This window comes from Homo sapiens, chromosome 2 (assembly GCF_000001405.40).
Source record: "Homo sapiens chromosome 2, GRCh38.p14 Primary Assembly".
Classification (NCBI taxonomy): Eukaryota; Metazoa; Chordata; class Mammalia; order Primates; family Hominidae; genus Homo; species Homo sapiens.
The window spans coordinates 63,546,805-63,570,766 of NC_000002.12; the positions used below are offsets into that span (position 1 = coordinate 63,546,805).

At 38.2% G+C, this 23,962-nt stretch overlaps 1 protein-coding gene across 20 annotated transcripts in view; it reads right to left on the reverse strand.

Moving 5' to 3' along the window:
- WDPCP (WD repeat containing planar cell polarity effector) overlaps nucleotides 1-23,962 on the reverse strand; it is a 721,268-nt gene that overhangs the window by 427,246 nt on the left and 270,060 nt on the right. The gene's annotated exons all lie outside the window — the stretch shown is intronic.

Below are 23,962 nucleotides of genomic sequence, written 5' to 3' on the forward strand. Positions count from 1 at the left end.
CTCAAAAACTTAATATATTGGAATCAGGCACAGAAAATAAATAACTATATTTATATCTAAAGACATAAAAAACAGGGTTGGAAATACTGCAGAAAACAGAAAACTATTTTTTTAAAAAAAAGACAAAAGATTTCTGAGAAGGTAAATAAACTAGAAATGAAAAATATAATACTTGAAATTAGAAACTCAATAGAAAGAATTAATTCCAGATTAGAGAGCTGGGAAACATGAAAGAGTGAGCTAGTTTAAAAGACAGTTTAACAAATAATTCTATTAAAACATAGGCAAATGATGAAAAGACATATCTCAAAAAAGATATACAAATGACCAAGAAATATATTAAAAATGCTCAACATCACTAATCATCAACGAAATGTAAATCAAAACCACAGAGACATCATCCTATCCCAGTTAGAATGGCTATTATCAAGAAGACCAAAAAACAACATATGCTGACAAGGATGTAGACAAAAAGGAGAGTAGGCTCAACTATTAAACACTGCTGGTGGGAACATAAATCAATACAGCCATTATGGAAAACAGTATGGAGATTTCTCAAAAACTAAAAATAGAACTACCGTATGATCCAGCAATTCCACTACTGCGTAAATATCCAAAAGAAAGGAAATCAATATATCAAAGAGATATTTGCACTCCCATTTTATTGCAGCCCTATACAAAATTTGCTAAAGTATGGAATAAACCCAAGTGCCCATCAATGGATAAACAGATAAAGAAAATGTGGTATGTATACACACACACACACACACACATACACACACAGACACACACACTGAAATATTATTCAGCCATTATAAAGAACGAAATTCTGTCATTTGCAGCAACATAGATGGAACTGGAGGTCATCATGTTAGTGAAGTAAGCCAAGCAGAGAAAGACAAATATCACATGTTCTCACTCATATGTGGAAGGTAGAAAAAGAAAAAAAAAAAAAAGGTGGCTCTCATGAAGATAGAGAATAGACTTGTGGGTACCAGAGGCTGGGAAGGTGGGGTGGGGGATGATGAAGAGCAGTTTATTAATAGATACAAATGGTGTTTCACAGATCAGTAGAATGACTATACTTAACAGTAATCTATTACACATTTCAAAATAGCTAGAAGAGAATAATTCAAATATTTCTACCATAAAGTTAAATATTTAAGGTGAGAGATATTCTAATTACCCTGATTTGATTATATGAATGTATCAAAATTATCACATACTCTGAAAATATGTACATCTATTATGCATCAATAAAAAATATTAATGAAAAACTTAAGACATATAACTCAAAACAAAAATAATAAATACTAGAAGCAATCCCAAATTTTTTTAAAAAGCAAATGTAAGTATTACATAATACTTATAAGAGACACATCTAAAATATAAGGAAACACAAAGACTGAAAGTAAGAAGGAAAAATGATTTTTCATGAAAATACTAACAAAAAGATACCTGGTACAGTTGTATTAATATCAAGCAAAAAAGGCTTTTTAAATTATTTCTAAAGACAGTCAGTTTATAATGACAGAGGTTCAACTCACCATGAAAAAACAATTTAGAATTAATATGCATCCAATAACATACCTTCAAAATATATAAAACAAAAACTAACAGAAGTAAATCTACTCTTAGTTTCCTGAATGGCAATCAGAAAAAAAAAATCATAATAGATATGGATTTTAGAACAGCATTAACAAATCTGTCACAATTGGCATGTAGAGAACACTACACTCAAAAGCTAAAGAATATGTACTCTTCTAAAACTCAATTTGGACATTAAAAAATCAAATGGACCGCATCTTAAGTCTTGACAAATGTTAAGGTACTTTGATCATAAAGAATACATTTTCTTTCCTTTTTTTTTTTTGAGACCGAGCTCTCGCCATGTTGCCCAGGCTGATCTCGAACTCCTGGCCTCAAGCGATCTTCCAGCCTCAGCATCCTGAGTAGCTAGGATTACAGGCATGAGCCATCATGCCCAGCAAAACACATTTTCTAACTAATTCAGCTAGAACTCAACCAAAAAATAATTAAAATAAATGTCTATATGTTAAGAATCAGGAAACACACTTCTAAACAACCATGGGTGAAAGAAACATACCGGCAGAAAAAGTTTTAAGTATGTATGTTAAACAGTGATGAAAATATCATCTGTTGGCCAGGCGTGGTGGCTCACACCTGTAATCCCAGCATTTTAGGAGGCAGAGGTGGGTGGATCACCTGAGGTCAGGAGTTCAAGACCATCCTGGCCAACATGGAGAAACCCAGTCTCTACTAAAAATATAAAAATCAGCTGGGCATGGTGGCTGACGCCTGTAATCCCAGCTACTCAGGAGGCTGAGGCAGGGAGAATCACTTGAACCTGGGAGGCGGAGGCTGCAGTGAGCCAGGATCCTGCCATTATACTTCAACCTGGGCAATAGAGTGAGACTGTCTCAAAAAAAAAAAAAAAAAAAAAGAAAATAGCATTTGTGCTAAGCATCCATCTAAAGGAATTAAAAATAAAAAGAGCCTCAAAGGAAATTTGAAGTAATTGGAAGGAAATAATAAAATTAGCAGAATTAATGAATTCAGAAACAAAAACACCACAGTCAAGAAACTGTTTTATACTGTAATGGAAACTAGAAAAAAAAATTACCAAGTCATTAGCATAAAAGAAATTTTAAAACTATTCTCAGCAAAGCGCGGTGGCTCACGCCTGTAATCCCAACACTTTGGGAGGCCGAGGCGGGTGGATCACAAGGTCAGGAGTTCAAGACCAGCCTGGCCAAGATGGTGAAACCCCATCTCTACTGAAAATACAAAAATTAGCGGGCATAGTGGCAGAAGCCTGTAATCCCAGCTACTCGGGAGGCTGAGGCAGGAGAATCACTTGAACCAGGGTGGCAGAGGTTGCAGTCAGCTGAGATCGAGCCACTGCAACTCCATCCTGGACGACAGAGTGAGACTCCATCTCAAAAAAACAAAAACAACAACAACAAAACTATTCTCATAAACAGGAATTAGGAAGACGGACATAAGAACACACCCACATCAGTGGCTACTTCCACTCAAGGTTCTGATCTTGTTGCTCCAAATAGTAAGAAAGGGAGATGTGAAATTTAGTTGTTTATGCAGTAATAATGTGCTCACTCCCTCTCTTTCCTAGGCCATCTCCCACTGCTTCCCTCCACTCCAGACCTTTCTGCAGTACTCTCTGAACTTCCTTCCGCTCTGTCTTAAACATCTTCAAATGCATCAACCAATGCTTTCTCTCTCTCTCCTTGTCTTCTATAAAACTTAGTTCTGCCATTATACTGGCTTCTCCTATGTTCTCATGCGTAGATTCTTTATCTCACACATTCCCAACAGCATTAACTATATTTGTCTCCCATCTTAAGAAACACACACACACACACACACACACACACACACACACACACACACACACCCTTCCTCTAATTCCAATGACCACCATTCTCCTTGGTTTAAAAACCAAGTCTTGAAAGAGTTTTCTTCATGTATTCACAATCCCTGCACTATGGTTTCTATTTTCACCACAAAAGGAAACTGCTTTCGCTAAGATCACCAATGATTTCCTTGTTCCTAAAGCTAATGGACCTTTCTCAGGCCTTATCTCACTTGAGGTTTCTCCTATTATTTGACACTGTTAACATCTCTTTTTTCTAGTACTATTTTCTTCTCTTTGCTCCCAAACTAGTTTACTTCCTATCTTTCTGACCACTTTTCCTTAAGTACCATTTTTCTGTTTCTGTCTAATATTCCTCAAAATTCTGTCTTAGGTCCTCTTCTATCTGCTATCCTTGGGTGATCATATCTGCTTCCACAGCTTCAATTTCCATCTACAAAATTAAATCTCAAGCATTATATATATATACATACACATACATATACATATATGTGTGTATATATATACATATATATGTGCATATGTATGTGTATATATATACACATATATATGTGCATATGTACATATATATGTATATATATATATACACACCCATAGAAAGGCAAGCTGTTTCCCTTTCATCTACCCCCAACTCCTGAAATAAGAATTCCTTATAACGTTACTTACCAAGGACTAAAATTGAACTTCTCTTCACCAGGCAAACCTGTCTATTTTCCTGTGATTCCAGTTTTAGTAAACAATACTATCATTCATTCAATTGCTCAAGGCAGAAACCTACGTATAAGTCTTTTGTCCTCCTTCTGCCTTGCTACTCACATCCAGTCAACCACTACCCACTAAAGTCTACCTTATAAATGTCTTTCAAAATGATCTAAATCTCTTCTCTGAAATATCAGCATTTATTCCAAGATTTCAAAAATGAAGACCTTCAAATTCATCATTTCTTATGTACAATATAAACTTTCCTAATCCACAAGAAAAATTAGCTTAGCTTTCATTTATAAATAAATACAAAAAAAAAATCCACTAGTAAAAAATATGACTGTAATATAGTTTGGATTGCGTCCCCTCCAAATCTCATGTTGAAATATAATCCCTAGTGTTGGAGATGGGGCCTGGCGGGAGGTGTTTGGGTCATGGGGGCAGATCTCTCATGAATGGCTTGTTGCCCTCCTTGAGATAGCAAGTTCTCACTCTGAGTTCAAGTGAGATCGGGTTATTTAAGAGTCTGGAACCTCCCCCTCTTGCCATGTGATACAATGACAATGACTCCATTGCCTTCCACCATGATTGAAAGCTTCCTGAGGCCTCACCAGGAGCAGATGCCAGCACCATGCTTCCTGTACAGCCTGCAGAACCATGAACCAAAATAACACTCTTTTCTTTATAAATTACCAGCCTCAGATATTTCTTTATAGCAACATAAATGGACTAATACAGACTCCTATCATGACAAGGACATGTTGGACACACTGCTCTTAGATAATATTAAGGCAAATAAGACTCAAAATATGTTAAAAGCAAAATGCTGGCATAATGCTTTTGTTTTCTAAAACCAAAGACACATATGTGAATTATTTGTTACATAAAAGGCACCCATTTGAAAAGGGTGATTTTTTTATAATGTGCCAGATTTGTCATTGTCCTTTTCTAACCTATCCCCATCACAGTCTTTCCTTCTTAAATCTTCTTATCCTAGTATAAACCTAAATATGAATATTCTGTTTTGCTTTCATTTTCTTTTTTTTTTTTTTTAAGAGAGAGGGTCTCACTATGTTGCCCAGGCTGGTCTCAACTCCTGGGCTCAAGTGATCTTCCTACCTCAGCTTCCTAAGGTTCTGGATTTTCAGGTGTGAGCCACCACACTTGGCCCTGCTTTCTTTAAAACAATATTTTATATTCTATATTCTATTTAAAATCCAAGTATTCTATTATAGTACCCAAAAAAAGTTGTGAAAAGTTATTTCACTAGTATCAATATTTACTCTGTATTTGGGCACTGTTAAACTGAGCAGAATGAAGACTTATAAAAAATAAATTTTCTCTATTCTTTCTCTTTTATGTTGTTTATTCCAGTTATTCCCAGAGATATATATACACCTACTCTAATGCATAAAAATTATTTAATTTTAAAGATTCCAGAAAGCAGTAATAAAATGCCAATTTTTAAAGATTTATTCTCATATTAAGTAACAAGTGTTTAAAAGATATCTGCATTTTAAAAAGTAATAAAGAAGTAATTCAACTTAAAAAATAGCTAGACACTGTCAGGAAGATTATAAGGTATAAACACAGTATCTCCTCTTTTTTTTATTTCAACTTTTAAATGCAGGGGGTACATGTGTGGGTTTGTTATATGGGTATATTGCGTGATGCTGGGTATCTCTTCTTTTAGGGTTTACAAATTAGTTGAGAAGACAAAGGACACAGATACAAACAGCAGAACAATAATACAGGATATTTGATAGGAAATGTGTGACTAAATGCCAAATAAAAGGCACTAACAAAAAAGCTATAAATCACTTAATACAGAGAAATCATTAGGGACCAGCAGTGATTAGAAACAGCTTCTTGGAAGGAATAGAACCTGTGTTTTGTCAGATGAGTAGCAAACTTTTAGAAAATAACAGAGATAAGAGAATCACACATAATAAAAACCAAAGATTGTTTTCAGCGTAAAATAAATACAAGTGTGTCTAAAGGTGATTTCTACTAAGCAGTGAAGTTAAGAAAAGTTAGATAGGTTACCACTAAACTACAGAAGGCCTTGCATGCCAAACTAAGAATTATGAAATGAAATTTAACCTCTCTGGGCCTGATGGCACTGAAGGAAAAGCATCCAACAGACTCACTGACACTTGGGGAAAGCAACAGTATTTTTTAAGTGTTTAGTTCTCCCCACACCACTGTAAGGGGGAGAGAGGAAGAACTGATATAAAAATAAGCTTGATTTAATTTTACGAGCTTTTGCCAAGGAATAATAAAATTACAAATGAGTAATGTGAACTCTTCAACTGTTAAATTCCATTTATGAAATATGATACAACATTTTCTTTTATTCTCTTTGAACTAATCATTTATTTCAAGGTTGTGGGAAGTATTTCCCGCCCATCCTCCCGATCCTGGTACGTGTTAGAGCCAGTTATTTTTGCAGCTTTGAAGTTGCTTCAAGATCTGTCATTTGGTTAGGTCAGGGGATGAATGCCTGAGGTGTTTTGTCCTCCAGGATGCTATTTTTCCTCAATTCATCTCTGTTTGGAAATGATTTATGCATTTTGGAGTGCAGGGTATTTTTTTCAAGATTTAAAATATCAACATGTCTCATGTTGACCTCAACATATTCAAGACATAATTTTCCATTCTTCTATTTTGTGTAAATATTTAAGCTCACCTTTACATCAATCTGATGCTTTTAAAAAAAAAAAAACTTTTTTCTTGGTAAGTAGAGCATTCAATGTGAATTGGGTCATAGGGATATTCAATTTTAGAAGAAAAGAGGGTTGTTTTTCTAGCTTTGCTGTGAAATAATTTCAAGTTAATGGAAGTGTTGCAAAAATGATTTTTAAAAAAAACTCCTCTATACCCTTGACCCAGATTCCCCAATTAACATTTTACCTCATTCAATTTAACATTCTCTTATACACACAAACACACACAAATTTATTTCAAGCCATTTGAAATTAAGTTGCAGACACAATGCTCCATTACCCCTTGATATGTCAGTGTGTATTTCCTAAAACCAAGGACACTCTTTCACATAACCACAGTACAACCATCAAAATTAATAATTTACTATCAACACAATTTTACCATTTAAACCAGAGACCAAATGCCAGTTTCACCCATTGTTCCAATAATGTTTAGATCCAATTCAGGATCATGCTTTGCATTTCACTGTTATGTCTCTTTGGTCCACTTCAATTTGGAACACTTCCTGCTGTCTCTTGATTTTGACATTTCTGATGCATAAAGCTGGTTACTTTATAGAAGTTTCTTCGCTTTGAATTTTTCTTATGTTTCCTTGGAATTAGATGTGGCTTATGTATTTTTGGCAAGAATACTGCAGAAATGATGCCATGCTCTTCTAGGTTCATTATATCAGGAGGCACACAATGTCAACTTGTCCCATTATTGGGGTTGGCAACTTATGTCACTTGGTAAATTGGTGTCTACCATGATTTCCCCCAGTTAATAAATATGTTGTACTTGATCACCTGAGGTCAGGAGTTCGAGACCAGCCTGGCCAACGTGGCAAAACCCCATCTCTATTAAAAATACAAAAAATTAGCTGGGTATGATGGCAGGCACCTGTAATCCCAGCTACTTTGGAGGCTGAGGCAGGAGAATCACTTGAACCCAGGAGGCGGAGGTTGCAGTGAGCCAAGATTGCGCCATTGCTCTCCAGCCTGGGTAACAAAGCGAAACTCCGTCTCAAAAAAAAAAAAGATTAATAAATATTTTGTGGGCAGATATTATGAAATTATGCAAGTATCCTCCTCATCAAAATTTCACCTACTACTGAGAAGAACAAAAATGGTGATTGAGTCCTGAACCAACAACTGAGGTATCCAGGTTCTCTCACTGGGACTGACTAGGCAGCTGGTGAGACCCATGGAGACTGAGGAAAAGCAGGGTGGTGTGACAGCCCACCTGGGAGCTACATGGGGGAAAGGAAGCTCCCACCCCTCAGCCAAGAGGGGGTGAGAAATTGTGCTACCCTGCCCAAGAAACCACACTTTTTCCACAGATCTGAGCAGTCCACAAATTAGGAGATCCCCTCATGAGCTCATGCCAGCAGGGCCTTAGTCTAACGCACAGAGATGTGCAGATTCTTTACAGCCACTTGGCTGGAGACTGCCTAAGACTACCAAGTTCCCAGGGAGAGGGGCGGCAGCCATCATTGCAGCTCTGGTCTGCTATTTTTCCCCTGCCAGTGCCAAGGAGACTGGGCAGTTTGGACACGGGAGGAATTCCTCACAGCATAGCACAGTGCCTGTGGCAGATTGTGGCCAGACTGCCTCTTGAGGCCGGACCCTGACCCATCCCTCCTCACTAGCTGGGGGGACCTCCCTGAGGGAATTTCAGCAACTCTAGCCAGGGGTTTATGGGCAGAACTCTGGTCTCCCTGGGACTGTACCCCTGCAGGGAGAGGCAGCCATGATCTCCGTAGATCAGCGGACTTAGTTTTTCCCCTGCTGTCTCTAGAGAATCCAGGCGGTCCAGGCCAGTGGGATTCCCCCCAGTGCAGCACACCCTCTCTGCCAAGGGGCAGCCAGAGTGCTTGGTTAAGTGGGTCCCGGATCCCGTGCCTCCTGACTAGGTGAGACCCCCCCGCAACAGGGGTTGCAGGACACCTTATACAGGAGCATTCCCACTGGATCAGGTCGGTGCCCCTCTGGGATGGAAATCCCAGAGGATGGAGCAGGCAGCCATCTTTGTTGTTCTGCAGCCTCCACTGGTGACATCTCCAGTGTGAGAGGGACCCAGGAAAACAGAGTCTGGAGTGGACCCCCAGCAAGCTGCAGCAGCCCTACAGAAGAGGGGTCTGACTGTTAAAAGAAAAACAAACAGAAAGGAACAACAACAACAACAGCATCAACAAAAAAAGTCCCCAAAAAACCCCATGCAAAGGTCAGCAGCCTCAAAGATTGAAGCTAGACAAACTCACAAAGATGAGAAAGAATCAGTGAAAAAAATGCTGAAAAATAAAAAAGCCAGAGTGCCTCGTCTCCAAATAATCCTCTCCAGCAAGGGCACAGAACTGGATGGAGGCTGAGATGGATGAATTGACAGAAGTAAGCTTCAGAAGGTAAGTAATAACAAACTTCTCTAAGCTAAAGGAGCATGCTCTAATCCACTGCAAAGAAGCTAAGAACCATGAGAAAACATCACAGCAGCTGTTAACCAGAATAACCAGTTTAGAGAGGAACATCAATGACCTGATGGAGCTGAAAAACGTAACATGAGAACTTCACAAATCAACTACAAGTATTAACAGCCAAATAGACCAAGTGAAGGAAAGAATTTCAGAGCTTGAAGACTATCTTGCTGAAATAAGAAAGGCAGACAAGATTAGAGATAAAAGAATGAAAAGGAACGAACAAAACCTCCAAGAACTATGGGGTTATGTAAAAAGTCCGAACCTGCGATTGATTGGGGTACCTGAAAGAGATAAGGAGAATGGAACCAAGTTGGAAAACATACTTCAGGATATAATCCAGGAGAATGTCCCCAAACTAGCAAAGCAGACCAACATTCAAATTTAGCCTCTTTGCATTGGGTTGGAACATGCTCCTTTAGCTCAGTGAAATTTGTTATTACCCACCTTCTGAAGCCTATTTCTGTCAATTCATTCATCTCAGCCTCCATCCAGTTCTGTGCCCTTGCTGAAGAGGTGTTGAAATCTTTCGGAAGAGAAGAGGCACTCTGGCTTTTTTAGTTTTCAGAACACCAGTAAGATACTCCATGAAAAGATCAACCGCAAGACACATAATCATCAGATTTTCCAAGGTCGAAATGAAGGAAAAAATGTTAAGGACAGCCAGAGAGAAAGGCCAGGTCACCTACAAAGGGAAGCCCATCAGACTAACAGCAGACCTCTCAGCAGAAACCCTACAAGCCAGAAGAGATTGGGGGCCAATATTCAACATTCTTACAGAAAAGAATTTCCAACCCAGAATTTCATATCCAGCCAAACTAAGCTTCATAAGTGAAGGGGAAATAAAATCCTTTTTGGATAAGCAAATGCTGAGGGAATTCATCACCACCAGGCCTTCCTTACAAGAGCTCCTAAAGGAAGCACTAAATATGGAAAGGAAAGAACGTTATCAACCACTACAAAAACACACTGAAGTACAAAGACCAATGACACTATGAAGCAACTACAACATGTCTGCAAAATAACTAGCTAGCATCACAATGACAGAATCAAATTCACTCATTTAACCGTAAATGTAAATGGACTAAATGCCCCCAATTAAAAGACACAGAATGACAAGCTAGATAAAGAATCAAGACCCCAACAGTGTGCTGTATTCAAGCGACCCATCTCACGTGCAAAGACACACAAAGGCTCAAAATAAAACGATGAAGGAAAATTTACCAAGCAAATGGAAAGCAAAAAAAGCAGGGGTTGCAATTCTAGTTTCTCACAAAACAGACTTTAAACCAACAAAGACCAAAAAAGACAAAGAAGGGGCATTACATAATGGTAAAGGGTTGAATTCAACAAGAAAAGCTAACTATCCTAAACATATATGCACCCAATACAGGAGCACCCAGATTCACAAAATAAGCTCTTAGAGACCTACAAAGAGACTTAGACTCCCACACAATAACAGCTAGAGACTTTAACACCCCACTGTCAATATTAGACAGAAAATTAACGAGGATATTCAGGACTTGAGCTCAGCTCTGGATCAAGTAGACTTGACAGACATCTATAGAACACTCCACCCAAAAACAACAGAATACACATTCTTCTCGGTGCCACATTCACTTACTCTAAAATCTATCACATAATTGAAAGTAAAACACTCCTCAGCAAATGCAAAAGAAGTGAAATTATAAAAACAGTCTCTCAGACCACAGTGCAATCAAATTAGAACTCAAGATTAAGAAACTCACTCAAAACCATACAACTACATGGAAATTGAACAACCTCCTCCTGAATGACTCCTGGGTAAATAATGAAATTAAGACAGAAATCAAGAAGTTCTTTGAAACCAAAGAGAACAAAGAGAAAACATAACAGAATCTCTGGGGCACAGCTGAAGCAGTGTCATAAGGGAAATTTATAGTACTAAATGCCCACATCAAAAAGCTAGAAAGATCTCAAATCAACACCATAACATCACAACTAAAAGAGCTAGAGAATCAAAGCAGACAAGAAATAACCAAGTTCAGAGCAGAACTGAAGGAGATAAGAGACATAAAAACCTCTTAAAAAAAAAAATCAATGAATCCAGTAGCTGGTTTTTTGAAAATTAACAAAATAGACGGCTAGCTAAACTAATAAAGAAGAAAAGAGGCCAGGCGTGGTGGCTCACGTCTGTAATCCCAGCACTTTGGGAGGGTGAGGCGGGCAGATCTTGAGGTCAGGAGTTTGAGACCAGCCTGGCCAACACAGGGAAACCCCGTCTCTACTAAAAATACAAAAATTAGCTGGGCGTGGTGGTGCGTGCCTGTAATCCCAGCTACTTGGGAGGCTTGAGGCAGGAGAATTGCTTGAACCAGGGTGTCAGAGGTTGCAGTGAGCTGAGACCGCACCACTGCACTCCAGCCTGGCAACAGAGTGAGACTCTGTCTCAAAAAAAAAAAAAAAAAAGAAAAAGAAAAAAGAAAAGAGAGAATAATCAAATAGAATAAAAAATGATAAAGGGGAGCTCACCACTGACCCCACAAAAATACAAACATCGGAGAATACTATAAACACCTCTACGCAAATAAACTAGAAAATCTAGAAGAAATGAATAAATTCCTGGACACATACACCCTCCCAAGACTGAACCAGGAAGAAGCTGAATCCCTAAACAGACCAATAACAAGTTCTGAAATTGAGGCAGCAACAAATGGCCTACCAACCAAAAAAACGCCAGGACCAAATGAATTTACAGCTGAACTCTACCACAGGTACAAAGAGGAACTAGTACCATTTCTTTTAAAACTATTCCAAACAACTGAAAAGGAGGAACTCCTCCCTAACTCATTTTATGATGCCAGCATCATCCTGATACCAAAACCTGGCAGAGATACAACAAAAAAAGAAAATTTCAGGCCAACATCCCTGATGAACATCAATGCAAAAATCCTCAATAAAATACTGGCAAACCGAATCCAGCAGCACATCAAAAAGCCTATCCACCACGATCAAGTCAGCTTCATTCCTGGAATGCAAGGCTGGTTCAACATATGCAAATCAGTATTTCATCACATAAACAGAACTAAAGAAAAAAACCACATGATTATCTCAATAGATGCAGAAAAGGCCTTTGATAAAATTCAACATCCCTTCATGTTAAAAACTCTCAATAAACTAGGTATTGATGGAATCTATCTCAAAATAATAGCGATTTATGACAACCCACAGCCAATATTATATTGAATGGGCAAAAGCTGGAAGCATTCCCTTTGAAAACCAGCACAAGACAAGGATGCCCTCTCTCACCACTCCTATTCAACATAGTATTGGAATTTCTGGCCAGGGCAATCAGGCAAGAGAAAGAAATAAAGGGTATTCAAATAGGAAGAGAGGAAGTCAAACTGTCTCTGTTTGCAGATGACATGATCCTATATCTAGAAAACCCCTTCACCTCAGCCCAAAAGTGTCTTAGGCTGATAAGTAACTTCTGCAAAGTTTCAAGATACAAAATCAATGTGCAAAAATCACAACCATTCCTATACACCAACAATAGACAAGCAGAGAGCCAAATCATGAGTGAACTCCCATTCACAACTGCTATAAAGGAAGTAAAATATCTAGGAATATTTAACATAATGGTTAACAAGGGAAGTGAAGGACCTCTTCAAGGATAACTACAATCCACTGCTTAAGGAAATCAGAGAGGACACAAACAAATGGAAAAACATTCCATGCTCATGGATAGGAAGAATCAATATCATGAAAATGATCATACTGCCCAAAGTAATTTATAGATTCAATGTTATTCCCATTAAACTGCCATTGACATTCTTCACAGAATTAGAAAAACTACTTTAAAATTCATATGGGGCCAGGCATGGTGGCTCACACCTGTAATCACAGCACTTTGGGAGGCCAAGACAGGTGGATCACCTGAGGTCAGGAGTTCGAGACCAACCTGACCAAACCCTGTCTCTTAAAACTACAAAAAAAATTAGCCAGGCGTGGTGTCGCATGCCTGTAATCCCAGCTATTTGGGAAGCTCAGGCAGGAGAACCGCTTGAAGCTGGGAGGTGGAACTTGCAGTGAGCCAAGATCGCACCATTTCATTCCAGCCTGGGTGACAAGAGCAAAAATCCGTCGCAAGAAAATAAAATAAAATAAAATAAAATTCATATGGAACCAAAAAAAAGTGTGTATAGCCAAGATAATCCTAAGCAAAAAGAACAAAGCTGGAGGTATCATGCTACCCGACCTCAAACTATACTACAAGGCTACAGTAACCAACACAGCATTGTACTGGTACAAAAACAGACACATAGATCAATGCAACAGAATAGAGATCTCAGAAATAAGACCACACATCTACAACCATCTGATCTTCAACAAACCTGACAAAAATAAGCAATGGGAAAAGGATTCCCTATTTAATAAATGCTGTTGACAGGTACACATACGTTTATTGTGGCACTATTCACAATAGCAAAGACTTGGAACGAACCCAAATGTCCATCAATGATAGACCGGATTAAGAAAATGTGGCACATATACACCATGGAATACTATGCAGCCATACAAAAGGGTGAGTTTATGTCCTTTGCAGGGACATAGATGAAGCTGGAAACCATCATTCTCAGCAAACTATCACAAGATCAGAAAACCAAACACTGCATGTTCTCACTCATAGGTGGGAGTTGAATAATGAGAACACATGGACACAGGGAGGGGAACATCATACACTGGGGCCTGTTGGGAGGTAGGGGCCTGGGGGAGGCATAGCATTAGGAGAAATACCTAATGTAAATGACCAGTTGATGGGTGCAGCAAACCAACATGGCACATGCATACATATGTAACAAACCTGCACGTTGTGCACATGTACCCTAGAACTTAAAGTATAATAAATAAATGGTGCTGAGAGAACTGGCTAGCCATATGCAGAAAAACTAAAACTGGACCCCTTTCCTACACCTTATGCAAAATTTCACTCAAGATGAATTAAAAACTTAAATGTAAAACCCAAAACTACAGAAACCCTAGAAGAAAATCTAGGCAAAACCATTCAGGACATAGGCATGGACAAAGATTTCACAATGAAAATGTCAAAAGCAGTTGCAGGCCAGGCACGGTGGCTCACGCCTCTAATCCCAGCACTTTGGGAGGCCGAGGTAGGCGGATCATGAGGTCAGGAGATTGAGACCATCCTGGCTAACATGGTGAAACACTGTCTCTACTAAAAATACAAAAAACCAGCTGGGCGTGGTGGCACACACCCGTAGTCCCAGCTGCTCGGGAGGCTGAGGCAGGAGAATTGCTTGAACCCGGGAGGCGGAGGTTACAGTGAGCCAAGATCATGCCACTGCACTCCAGCCTGGCAACAGAGCCAGACTCCATCTCAAATAATAATTAAAAAAAAAAAAGCAGTTGCAACAAAAGCAAAAATTGACAAATGGGATCTAATGAAACTAAAGAGCTTCTGCATAGCAAAAGAAACTATCATCAGAGTGAACAAACAACCTACAGAATGGGAAAAGTTTGCAATCTATCCATCTGACAAAGGTCTAATATCTAGAATTTACAAGGAACATAAATTTACAAGAAAAAAACAACCCCACTAAGAAGTGGACAAAGGACATGAAGAGACACTTTTCAAAAGAGGACATTTATGCAGCCAACAAACATGTGAACAAAAGCTAGACATCACTAATCATTGAGAAATGCAAATCAAAACCACAATGAGATACCATCTCTTGCCAGTCAGAATGGCAGTAATTAAAAAGTCAAGAAACAACAGATGCTGGCGGGGCTGTGGAGCAACAGGAAAGCTTTTCCACTGTTGGTGGGAATGCATATTGGTTCAACCACTGTGAAAAACAGTGTGATGATTCCTCAAAGATCTAGAACCAGAAATACCATTTGACCTAGCAATCTCATTATTGGGTATATACCAAAAGGAGTATCAATCATTCTGTTATAAAGATACATGCAAATGTATTTCCACTGCAGCACCATTCACAATAGCAAAAACATGGAATTAGTCCAAATGCCCATCAATGATAGACTGGATAAAGAAAATGTGGCACATGTATGCCAGGAATAGCATGCAGCCATAAAAAGGAACAAGATCATGTCCTTTGCAGGGACATGGATGAAGCCAGAAGCCATTATCCTCAGCAAACTAACACAGGAACAGAAAACCAAACACCACATATTCTCACTTATAAGTGGGAGCTGAACAATGAGAACACATGGACACAGGAAGGGGAACAACACACACTGGGTAGAGCCTGTCGGGGGTTGTGGTGGGAGGGAGTGTACCAGGATAAATAACTAATGCATGTGGGGCTTAATACCTAGGTGATGGGTTGATAGGTGCAACCATGGCACACATTTGTAACAAAGCTGCACATCCTGCATATGTATCCTGGAACTTAAAACTTTAAAAATAATAAAATTTTTAAAAATAAAAAATTTCCAACAAAAATTTCACCTACCAGTTACAGAATCCACTGATGATTCTGCCCAAATAAATTATTACTATGAGAATTGCCAAAGATGATTTTCTAATTCCAACATTTTTCTACATAAGTTGGTATTATACTGTAAGGTAGAGCTTTCCAATTGAAACTTATTTATAAATTTCATGTATGTACTTGTGAATTTCAACTTACTTAATGAGTTAAATGTATTATTATTTATTCTGACATTCAAAATGTCCCAGATTTGGCCACTGGAGTTCCTTCAAGCTTGCTCCTGTGTGCTTTTGACATGGTTTTATCATTCTCTCAACATTTCATTGTTTTCTGGCACAGCAAGCTATTTCTCTAAGAGGCCCTGAACCCTTTTAGTGGAAAATGATAGTTAAAAATAGAGATGTGGACACTAGTGTGCTCACTGCTACTAGACTGTCATTGCTTCTAAGTCCTCTCAGAGATCAGAGGTAGGAAATATATGTAGGTATACACACAAATACACACACACATACATACATACATACATACAGCCCACTGCTGGTGCAATGACTGAAAGGATTGCATTTCTAATTCTAGTCTTAAGACCATCCAAAGAACAAGGTTTTGATGCATATACGACAGTTTTAACATAACTCCATCAAAAAATTGTAATGTTAATAGAACAAGTGAGACACAGAACAGCAAGCAACACGATCTCTTCTACTACTAATTCACTAGTCTGAAAAAGTGTCATCCAGAAAATGCCACATATGGAACGTATAACAAGTCCTCTGCTTGTTGAAAAATAGCATCATTTAATGGAATAACCACTGTAGTATGGAAATGAAAAAATACGGAAGCACTGCCAAGTAAAATTTATCACTGATTAGAGGTTCTTCAAAAAGAAAAAGCCAATAGACACATAAAGCCACATATTGTATAATTTCATATATATGAAATGTGTAGATGGGGCAAATCCATAGAGACACTGAGTAGATTACTTGCTGGGACTGCAGGGAGGGAGAAATGGGGAATGACTACTAATGCATATAGGCCTGCTTTTTGGGTTGATAAAAATGTTCTCAATTAGATAGTGGTTGCTATGGTTTCAATGTATCCCTTAAGATAGGTTCTTAGGAGGCAATTCAGGTTAAATTGAGGTCATAAGGGTAGATCCCTAGTGCAAAAGGACTGTGGCCTTAAAAAAGAGAAAGAAAACACACTCCCTGTTTCTCACCATATGATGCCTTCTACCACACAGCAAGAAGGACTTCATCCTTCATGCAGCCCCTTGAAATTGGGCTTGTCAGCCTCCAGAACTGTAAGAGATAAATTTCTTCACTTTATAAACTACCCACTCTCAGGTATTCTGTTCTAGCAACAGAAAATGGGCTAAGACAGTGGCGATGGTGGCAAACTTTTGAGTATACTAAAAACTATTAAATTGTACACTTTAAAAGGGTGAGTTTTAGGGTATATGAATTATATCACAATAAAAATGGAGGGCTGGTAATGCAAGATTCCTTAATGGCCCACCAAACATTAACTTTTGGGGATTCTCATGTTGCTAAACTTTGGTGGCTTCTCTGTACATAAAACGAAGTACTTTTGACAGAAAACACTGTCACTTAGGTGGAAAGGTGCTTCATTATAAGGGTCAACTTGTCAAGAATATTTTTGGAAATTTCATTTTCTCATTTCATTAGATGACAGAAGCCAAGTTCAGCCTGGTTAACTTGTAGCATTTATACATTTAGGTATGCTTCGGAATTTCACTGTTAGAATTCTGTAACCTGTGGTTTTGGAATATTCAATTCAGCAAATGTGCAGTGCATGCTTTTGGGACTCTGCTAACACTGCCTCAATTTCAGCCACAGTTTTTCTGCTTGCTGGCATCTCCCAGATCTAGGCTTGTTGTGAACTATGGACCCAGTTTCCTTGAAGTTTTCATCCAGTTGTTAATTCAATGTCTGTGGGGAACCTCCTTCTTACGACAGGAAGTGAGTTTTCTTGTTTCTGTCATCGTGAGTTTGAGTTCGGCTAACCAGATAGCACAATTAACTTTTTTTCAATGTTTGCTGATCTTCAATCAACTGAAATGAAAAATCAAAGTTAAAATTTCGTTATTCAAAATTAACAAAGATAAATGACTATAAAACAAATGTAAATAATTAAAGTTTCAAATGATGTTCTTTCTAAATCTATAGTATTTATACTTGTGATGTTACTAAAGCTTAAAACTGCACCTTTTTTTTTTTTTTTTTGAGACAGAGTCTTGCTCTGTCGCCCAGGTTGGAGTGCAGTGGCACGATCTTGGCTCACTGCAACCTCCACCTCCCAGGTTCAAGCAATTCTACTGCCTCAGCCTCCCGAGTTGTCAGTATTACAGGCGCGTGCCACCATACCTGGCTAATTTTTTGTATTTTTAGTAGAGATGGTGTTTCACCATATTAGCCAGGATAGTCTTGATCTCCTGACCTCATGATCTGCCGCCTTGGCCTCCAAAGGTGCTGGGATTACAGGCGTGAGTCATGGCACCTGGCCAAAACTGCACTTTTTAAAAAGATCAGACTACTGTCCAGAATGATGAAAGCAAAACAAGATTTATCCTAAAGCATTAAGGTCATGAAAAGGCTGAACACAGAATGATTATCAAATCCCAGATTATTAGACTTAAAATTTTCAACCTTCAAAGCTTGCAGGATATTGTTTTAAGACCAAAAAAAGTAATGCGTTATTTTTTATAAAACTTATGAATTTGTTATGAATACATAGACTGAAAATTCAATTCGCTTCAATACGAGTTTGAATAAATGTATGGATGACTGTTGGTCAGAACCAACAGAATATAAGCTGGAGATATACACCTTGAAAATACACAGGTATGTATTTTAAATAACCTTAGAAAATTAAAGAAATATTTAAACTCTATAGGATATGAATTATAGTATAATAAAACATCAAGGAGTCACTGAGAAAAATAAGGTGTCAGTGGTTGAGCATTGTGCTTTCATTCAATTCACTTCTGAATCATTGTATCTTACCAATGCCTTGCTAAATGTAAATTCTCAAGGAATTAATGAATAAATTACTATATTGATAGATAATCTTAAAAAGCAAGCAGGAAATCACCATATATAACCTGGAATCCCACATTAGTTAAGCCTCTATTTTTGAAAAAATACTGAATTATATTATAGGTTATATAACTAAAGAGAAAAGTTGTAAACCTGAGCAGGTTGAATAAAAAACCACAAACACAATTTAAAACTTTGCAAAGGAGATTGATTAGTCAAAACTCTTATCCTTGACATCTCCCTCTCTCTCACCATCTGCAGGTACATATATAGCCATCGCCCAGTCCTGTCTATTCTATATCCTAAATATTTCTGAATGTCTAGTTTTATATCCACTGCCACCATCATCTTCTACCTCAACAATCTATTACAGTCTCCTAACTCATCTATACTCAGTACTTTCTCTATGCTACAGACAGATCCTTTAAGATATAAAATGGATCCTTCTCTTCTCCAACCTCAAATTCTCCGAGAATTCCCATCCATTTCCCTTTACTTGGTTTGCAGGACCTTGAATGTACCACTCTGATCTGTTTTTATACGTCTGTGAAAAGAAAATATCTTGGTCCCCCAAAATCACCAAAGAAAACTCAAGCTGGAAGCTGCTTAGGGCAAACCTGCCTCTCATTCAATTCAAAGTCACTCCTCTGCTCACTGAGATAGATGGATATCTGATTTGCGTCCTTTGGAAAAGCTAATTAGAAACTCAAAAGAATGTAACCATTTGTGTCTCACCTATCTGTGACCTGGAAGCTCTCCCCACTTCTAGTCGTCCTGCCTTTGCTTCAAGTTGTCCTGCCTTTCCAGACTGAGCCAATGTACTTCTTTCTTGTATTGATTGATGTCTCATGTCTCCCTAAATGTGTAAAACTAAGCTGTGCTGTGACCACTTTGGGCACATGTTGTCAGGACTTCCTGAAGCTGTGTCACAGGCGCGTCCTCAACCTTGGCAAAATAAACTTCCTAAATTAACTGAGACCTGTCTCAGATTTTCTGGGTTCACACTTCTGACACCAAATGTGTGGAGGTTGTCCACACCAAGCAATTCTCCAATTCTCTGGACACCAACTGGATGTCTTACAATTCAGTTCAATCCTGACAATATCCAGAATTAGCAACAGACTCTACAGGTTTAAGAGCTCAGTCCCACAAGACTGTCCTCACTTCAGATATTGGTTGCAAGTCCCATGTTGTTGCTGATACTTATGACTGACTAGCTATATATTCAAGGGTTCCCACGACCCCCTCCTCAGGTTCTGTAATTTGCTAGAATGGCTCATAGAACTCAGAAAGGAACCTTACTTACTGTTACCAGTTTATCATAAAGAATACAACTTAGCAACAGCCAAATGCAAGAGATGCACAGGGCAAATGGCAGCAGGGGTCGGGTGGAGTTGAGGTCGGGGGTGGTGTGGTTGTGGGGAGAAAGGTTAGGACAGGGCTTCTATGCCTTCTACTGGCTTGCCACCCTCCCAGCACTGCAATGTGTTCACCAACCCAGAAGCTCTGAACTCTGTTATTTAGTGGCGTTAAAGGTTTCATTAATAGGCGTGAATAATTAAATCTCTGGACATTGCTGACTGAACTCAACCTCTAGCCCCTCTCCCCTCCCCTAGAGGTCAGGGAGTGGGGCTGAAAATTCAAACCCTATCCTTCCCTTGGTCTTTCTGGCTACCAGCCCCCATTCCAAAACTATCTAGGGACCCCCAGCCACCAGTCATCTTAGCATACAAAAGACATTCTTATCAACTGCAGAGATTGCAAGGGTTTTAGAAGCTATGTGCTAAAAACCAAGAACAAAGACCAAGTATATATTTCATTTCCCATTATATCACACTCTCAACTTAACTTCATGCAGCTCCCACTTTGTTCACTAAGCTCTAGCCTCTCTAGCTTCTCTTGAGCCCCCAATACGCCAGGCTCTCTCCCACCTGAGGAGCTGGACACATGCTGATCCCTCTGTAAGAAGCACTTTTCCCCCTACTTAGCTACAGTTACAGTTTAAATATCAGTTGCTAAAAGAGGCGTTCCCCAATCCTTCCCTCTAAAGTAGACATCCCTTGTTTTTTTCCCCTTCATAGCCCATATTCTTTATTTTCATAGCACTAATAACAGTTTGAAATTCGATATTTGTGTATTTTTTTTGATCTTTATTCTCTGTTAGACTCTGATGTTTCTTAAGGGCAGAAACCATGTCAATTTAGTTGACCATTGTTTGGCCAGTGCCTTTCACGATGCCAGGCATCCAGTAGATATTAAACTCATTGAATAAATAATTTTTTATATACCTCATTTTGATATAATTTGAATTAAAATCCAATAAGTATGTCTTTGAATTTAGAATAGGGTTGAGGAGTACTGAATTTAAGTGTACAAATGGGTATCCCATAAAAAATAATGACAGCTTTTTCCACTTCCATTATGGGTAGATTAAGAATAATAAGAGCTAACATTTACTGAAAGTTTGCCATGTTTCAGGCACTTACATATATTAATTCAATGATCCTTATGACAGCCATATGAGGTTGTTTGCAGGTGAAGGCACAAGGTCAGAGAGATTAATTAGCTTGCCCTAGACTAAACAAACATGAGAGAGCTGGGAATTTTTAACCCAAGCAATCTAGTTCAACTACTATGCCTTCTAGAATAAAAGGAAACAAGTTTAAGAGTAATATAACTACTTTAGGTTAGAAAGAAGGAAGAAGTCTCTGACTATAAATGCTGAATAAATTCCTAAAAAAAAAAACAAAAAAAAACCTCTCTCTCTAAAGAGCTCTAAAAATTCCACAACAGCCTCTCATTTGTAATGGGAGATATTTATAAAAGTGCACATAGTACTATTTGAAACGCTTGTTTCCCACTGCCGTAAAGAAATAGCACTTGAACATAAATTTAATTTACTCAGCAAGGCCATTTTTACTTCCTGCAGAAAGGGTACACTCACCAGCAGTTTTGCCACGAGAGTACACCAAACAAAGGAGACAGGGTCATTTATAACCTGATGCGTCCACCCTACTGCTGTGTCCAGTTTCCATTGGCTGGAATGGGACCTCACATTTTGTATTTGTCCCGACTGGCTAGCAACTTAGAACTTGTTAAAAGAGGCAAAGGCAGAGGAGAACAAAGGAAGGAGGAAGTAACTTGTGGAATGCTAAGAAAGGTAAAAACACCTTCAAATAAGGAAGAGAAACAGGCTATGACTTAATGCTTGCTTGGACCAGTATAAGCATGCCAGGGCAAATATTTAGGCTAAATTGTGAGAGCTAACAACATAAAGTACACTGATTTCTTTATCACGGCTAGCAGATATTTAAGAATGTTAGCACAGGTCTTTGAACAAATTTTGCTTCTAAGAGAAGTTACTATTTATTCCTAATTAAATGGGGAGGAAAGTCTTTGAAGAGGAATCTCTACTTTATTTTTCATAGTACCAATGTTAGAAATAGTTAAAAACTGGAAACAACCTAAATATCATTAAATGGAAAATGGAGAACAAATAAAGTATAAGGTAGAAAACAACATAGATGACTCTCAAAAACAATGTTGAACAAAGAAACAAGCTGCAGAAAAACGCTAATTTCTATAAAATTCAAAAATGATCAAAATGAAACCTTCTATTTAGAATACAAATGAAAAGTCTATGAAGAAAACCAAGAGAATAATTAACTAAAAACTTGAGACAATGGTTATCACTGGTGAGGAAAAAGAAGAATGCAATTGGGAAGGGATCTGTAGGTGATTCAAAAGCACTGTTAATGTTCTATTTCTTAAGCTGGAGAGCAGATACATGTATTTTTTTTTCCTTTGGCCTTATATATGTTATGTGTTGTTTCACATATATCTAGCTAAAGCTATACTATGTCACCAATGCAAAAAAGAAAGATCCAGCAAAATGGGAAAGCCCAAGGAAGCAATGTCATTCAAAAAAAAGACGGGAAGGTCCAAAGATTACAAGCACTATCCTACCTGATATTGAACACCTGGCTTTCTTCCTTCTATAGCTTTAGTGCTGGGAGCCTGTACTCAATTTCCTCACAAACATTTGCTAACTCACGTGGGCAAGGGCTCAGTGGGTCAGAGCTACCACTGACATGCAGAATCAAGTAGCCAGTTAACACTGTGTTGATAACTATTTCCCCCCAAATTCCCCACCTACATGAAATTTGCTGTATCCTGGTAGATGGGGCTAGCAAGCATATTTTCAGTTTACTTAGAAGCCCTCAGAAAGGACTATCTGACTATATATAGCATTGAAAGTACCCCAATGGGTAGTTTTAAAACACCTTCAGACTCTCTCATATGCTTTGAACCCTGAGTACCTATATATAGTTAAAATCACAAAAGACAGCTCAAGAAAAGGGGTTAAGGATGTGGTTGAATGACTGGCTCCCTGCTTCTGTTAGTAGGGCCATTTTCACCACTTATCTCAATACTTATTCACTAAAACTACAGAAATAACTGGGTGCTGAGACTAAAATCACAACTGACATCCACAACTCTCATTTTCAAATTTGGCCTTTTTCAAAAAATGGCTAATCCCATTAACTTGATGCAAATATTTATAAATGTAAAAGTACAAAAACACCCGTGTAAACAATATATTTGTTTTATACACTGCAATAAAATGAAATATTTAACTTGGAAAAAGGGTTCTTTGCTACTTAAAAAAGGTCTGAAAACATATGTATTATCATGCATTCTCAAACTGGACAAAACGCAGAGAATTTTTATGAACTTGATGGATGTTTATGTCCTTCCCCACCAAAGAATAGCCTGATTTTTCTATCCTCCCCTTAACCTTCACCTCATCAACTTTTCCCTTAGCTTTCCTACTCTAGGCTGTTGGCTCTTGTTTTCCAGTCAAACATATTAAAATAGGGGTTGTGAGAGCAAAGGAAGGGCTAAGTGACAAAATAAAGCCAAGGGATGATGAACTTGGGATAGGTATTACCTGCCCTAGGGATTAACCACAGGGATACATCTAGGTAGATGATCATTATCATGTTTACAGGGGAGAAATTGAAGTGTATATATTATATGTAGGAAAAACAGAATGCCAAGTACACTAGAGATGGGAATTAAATGTTTCTCATATTTCATATTTTTGACAAATACTTTAATTTAGTTTATTCATATATTGTATTTTATTTGCCATATG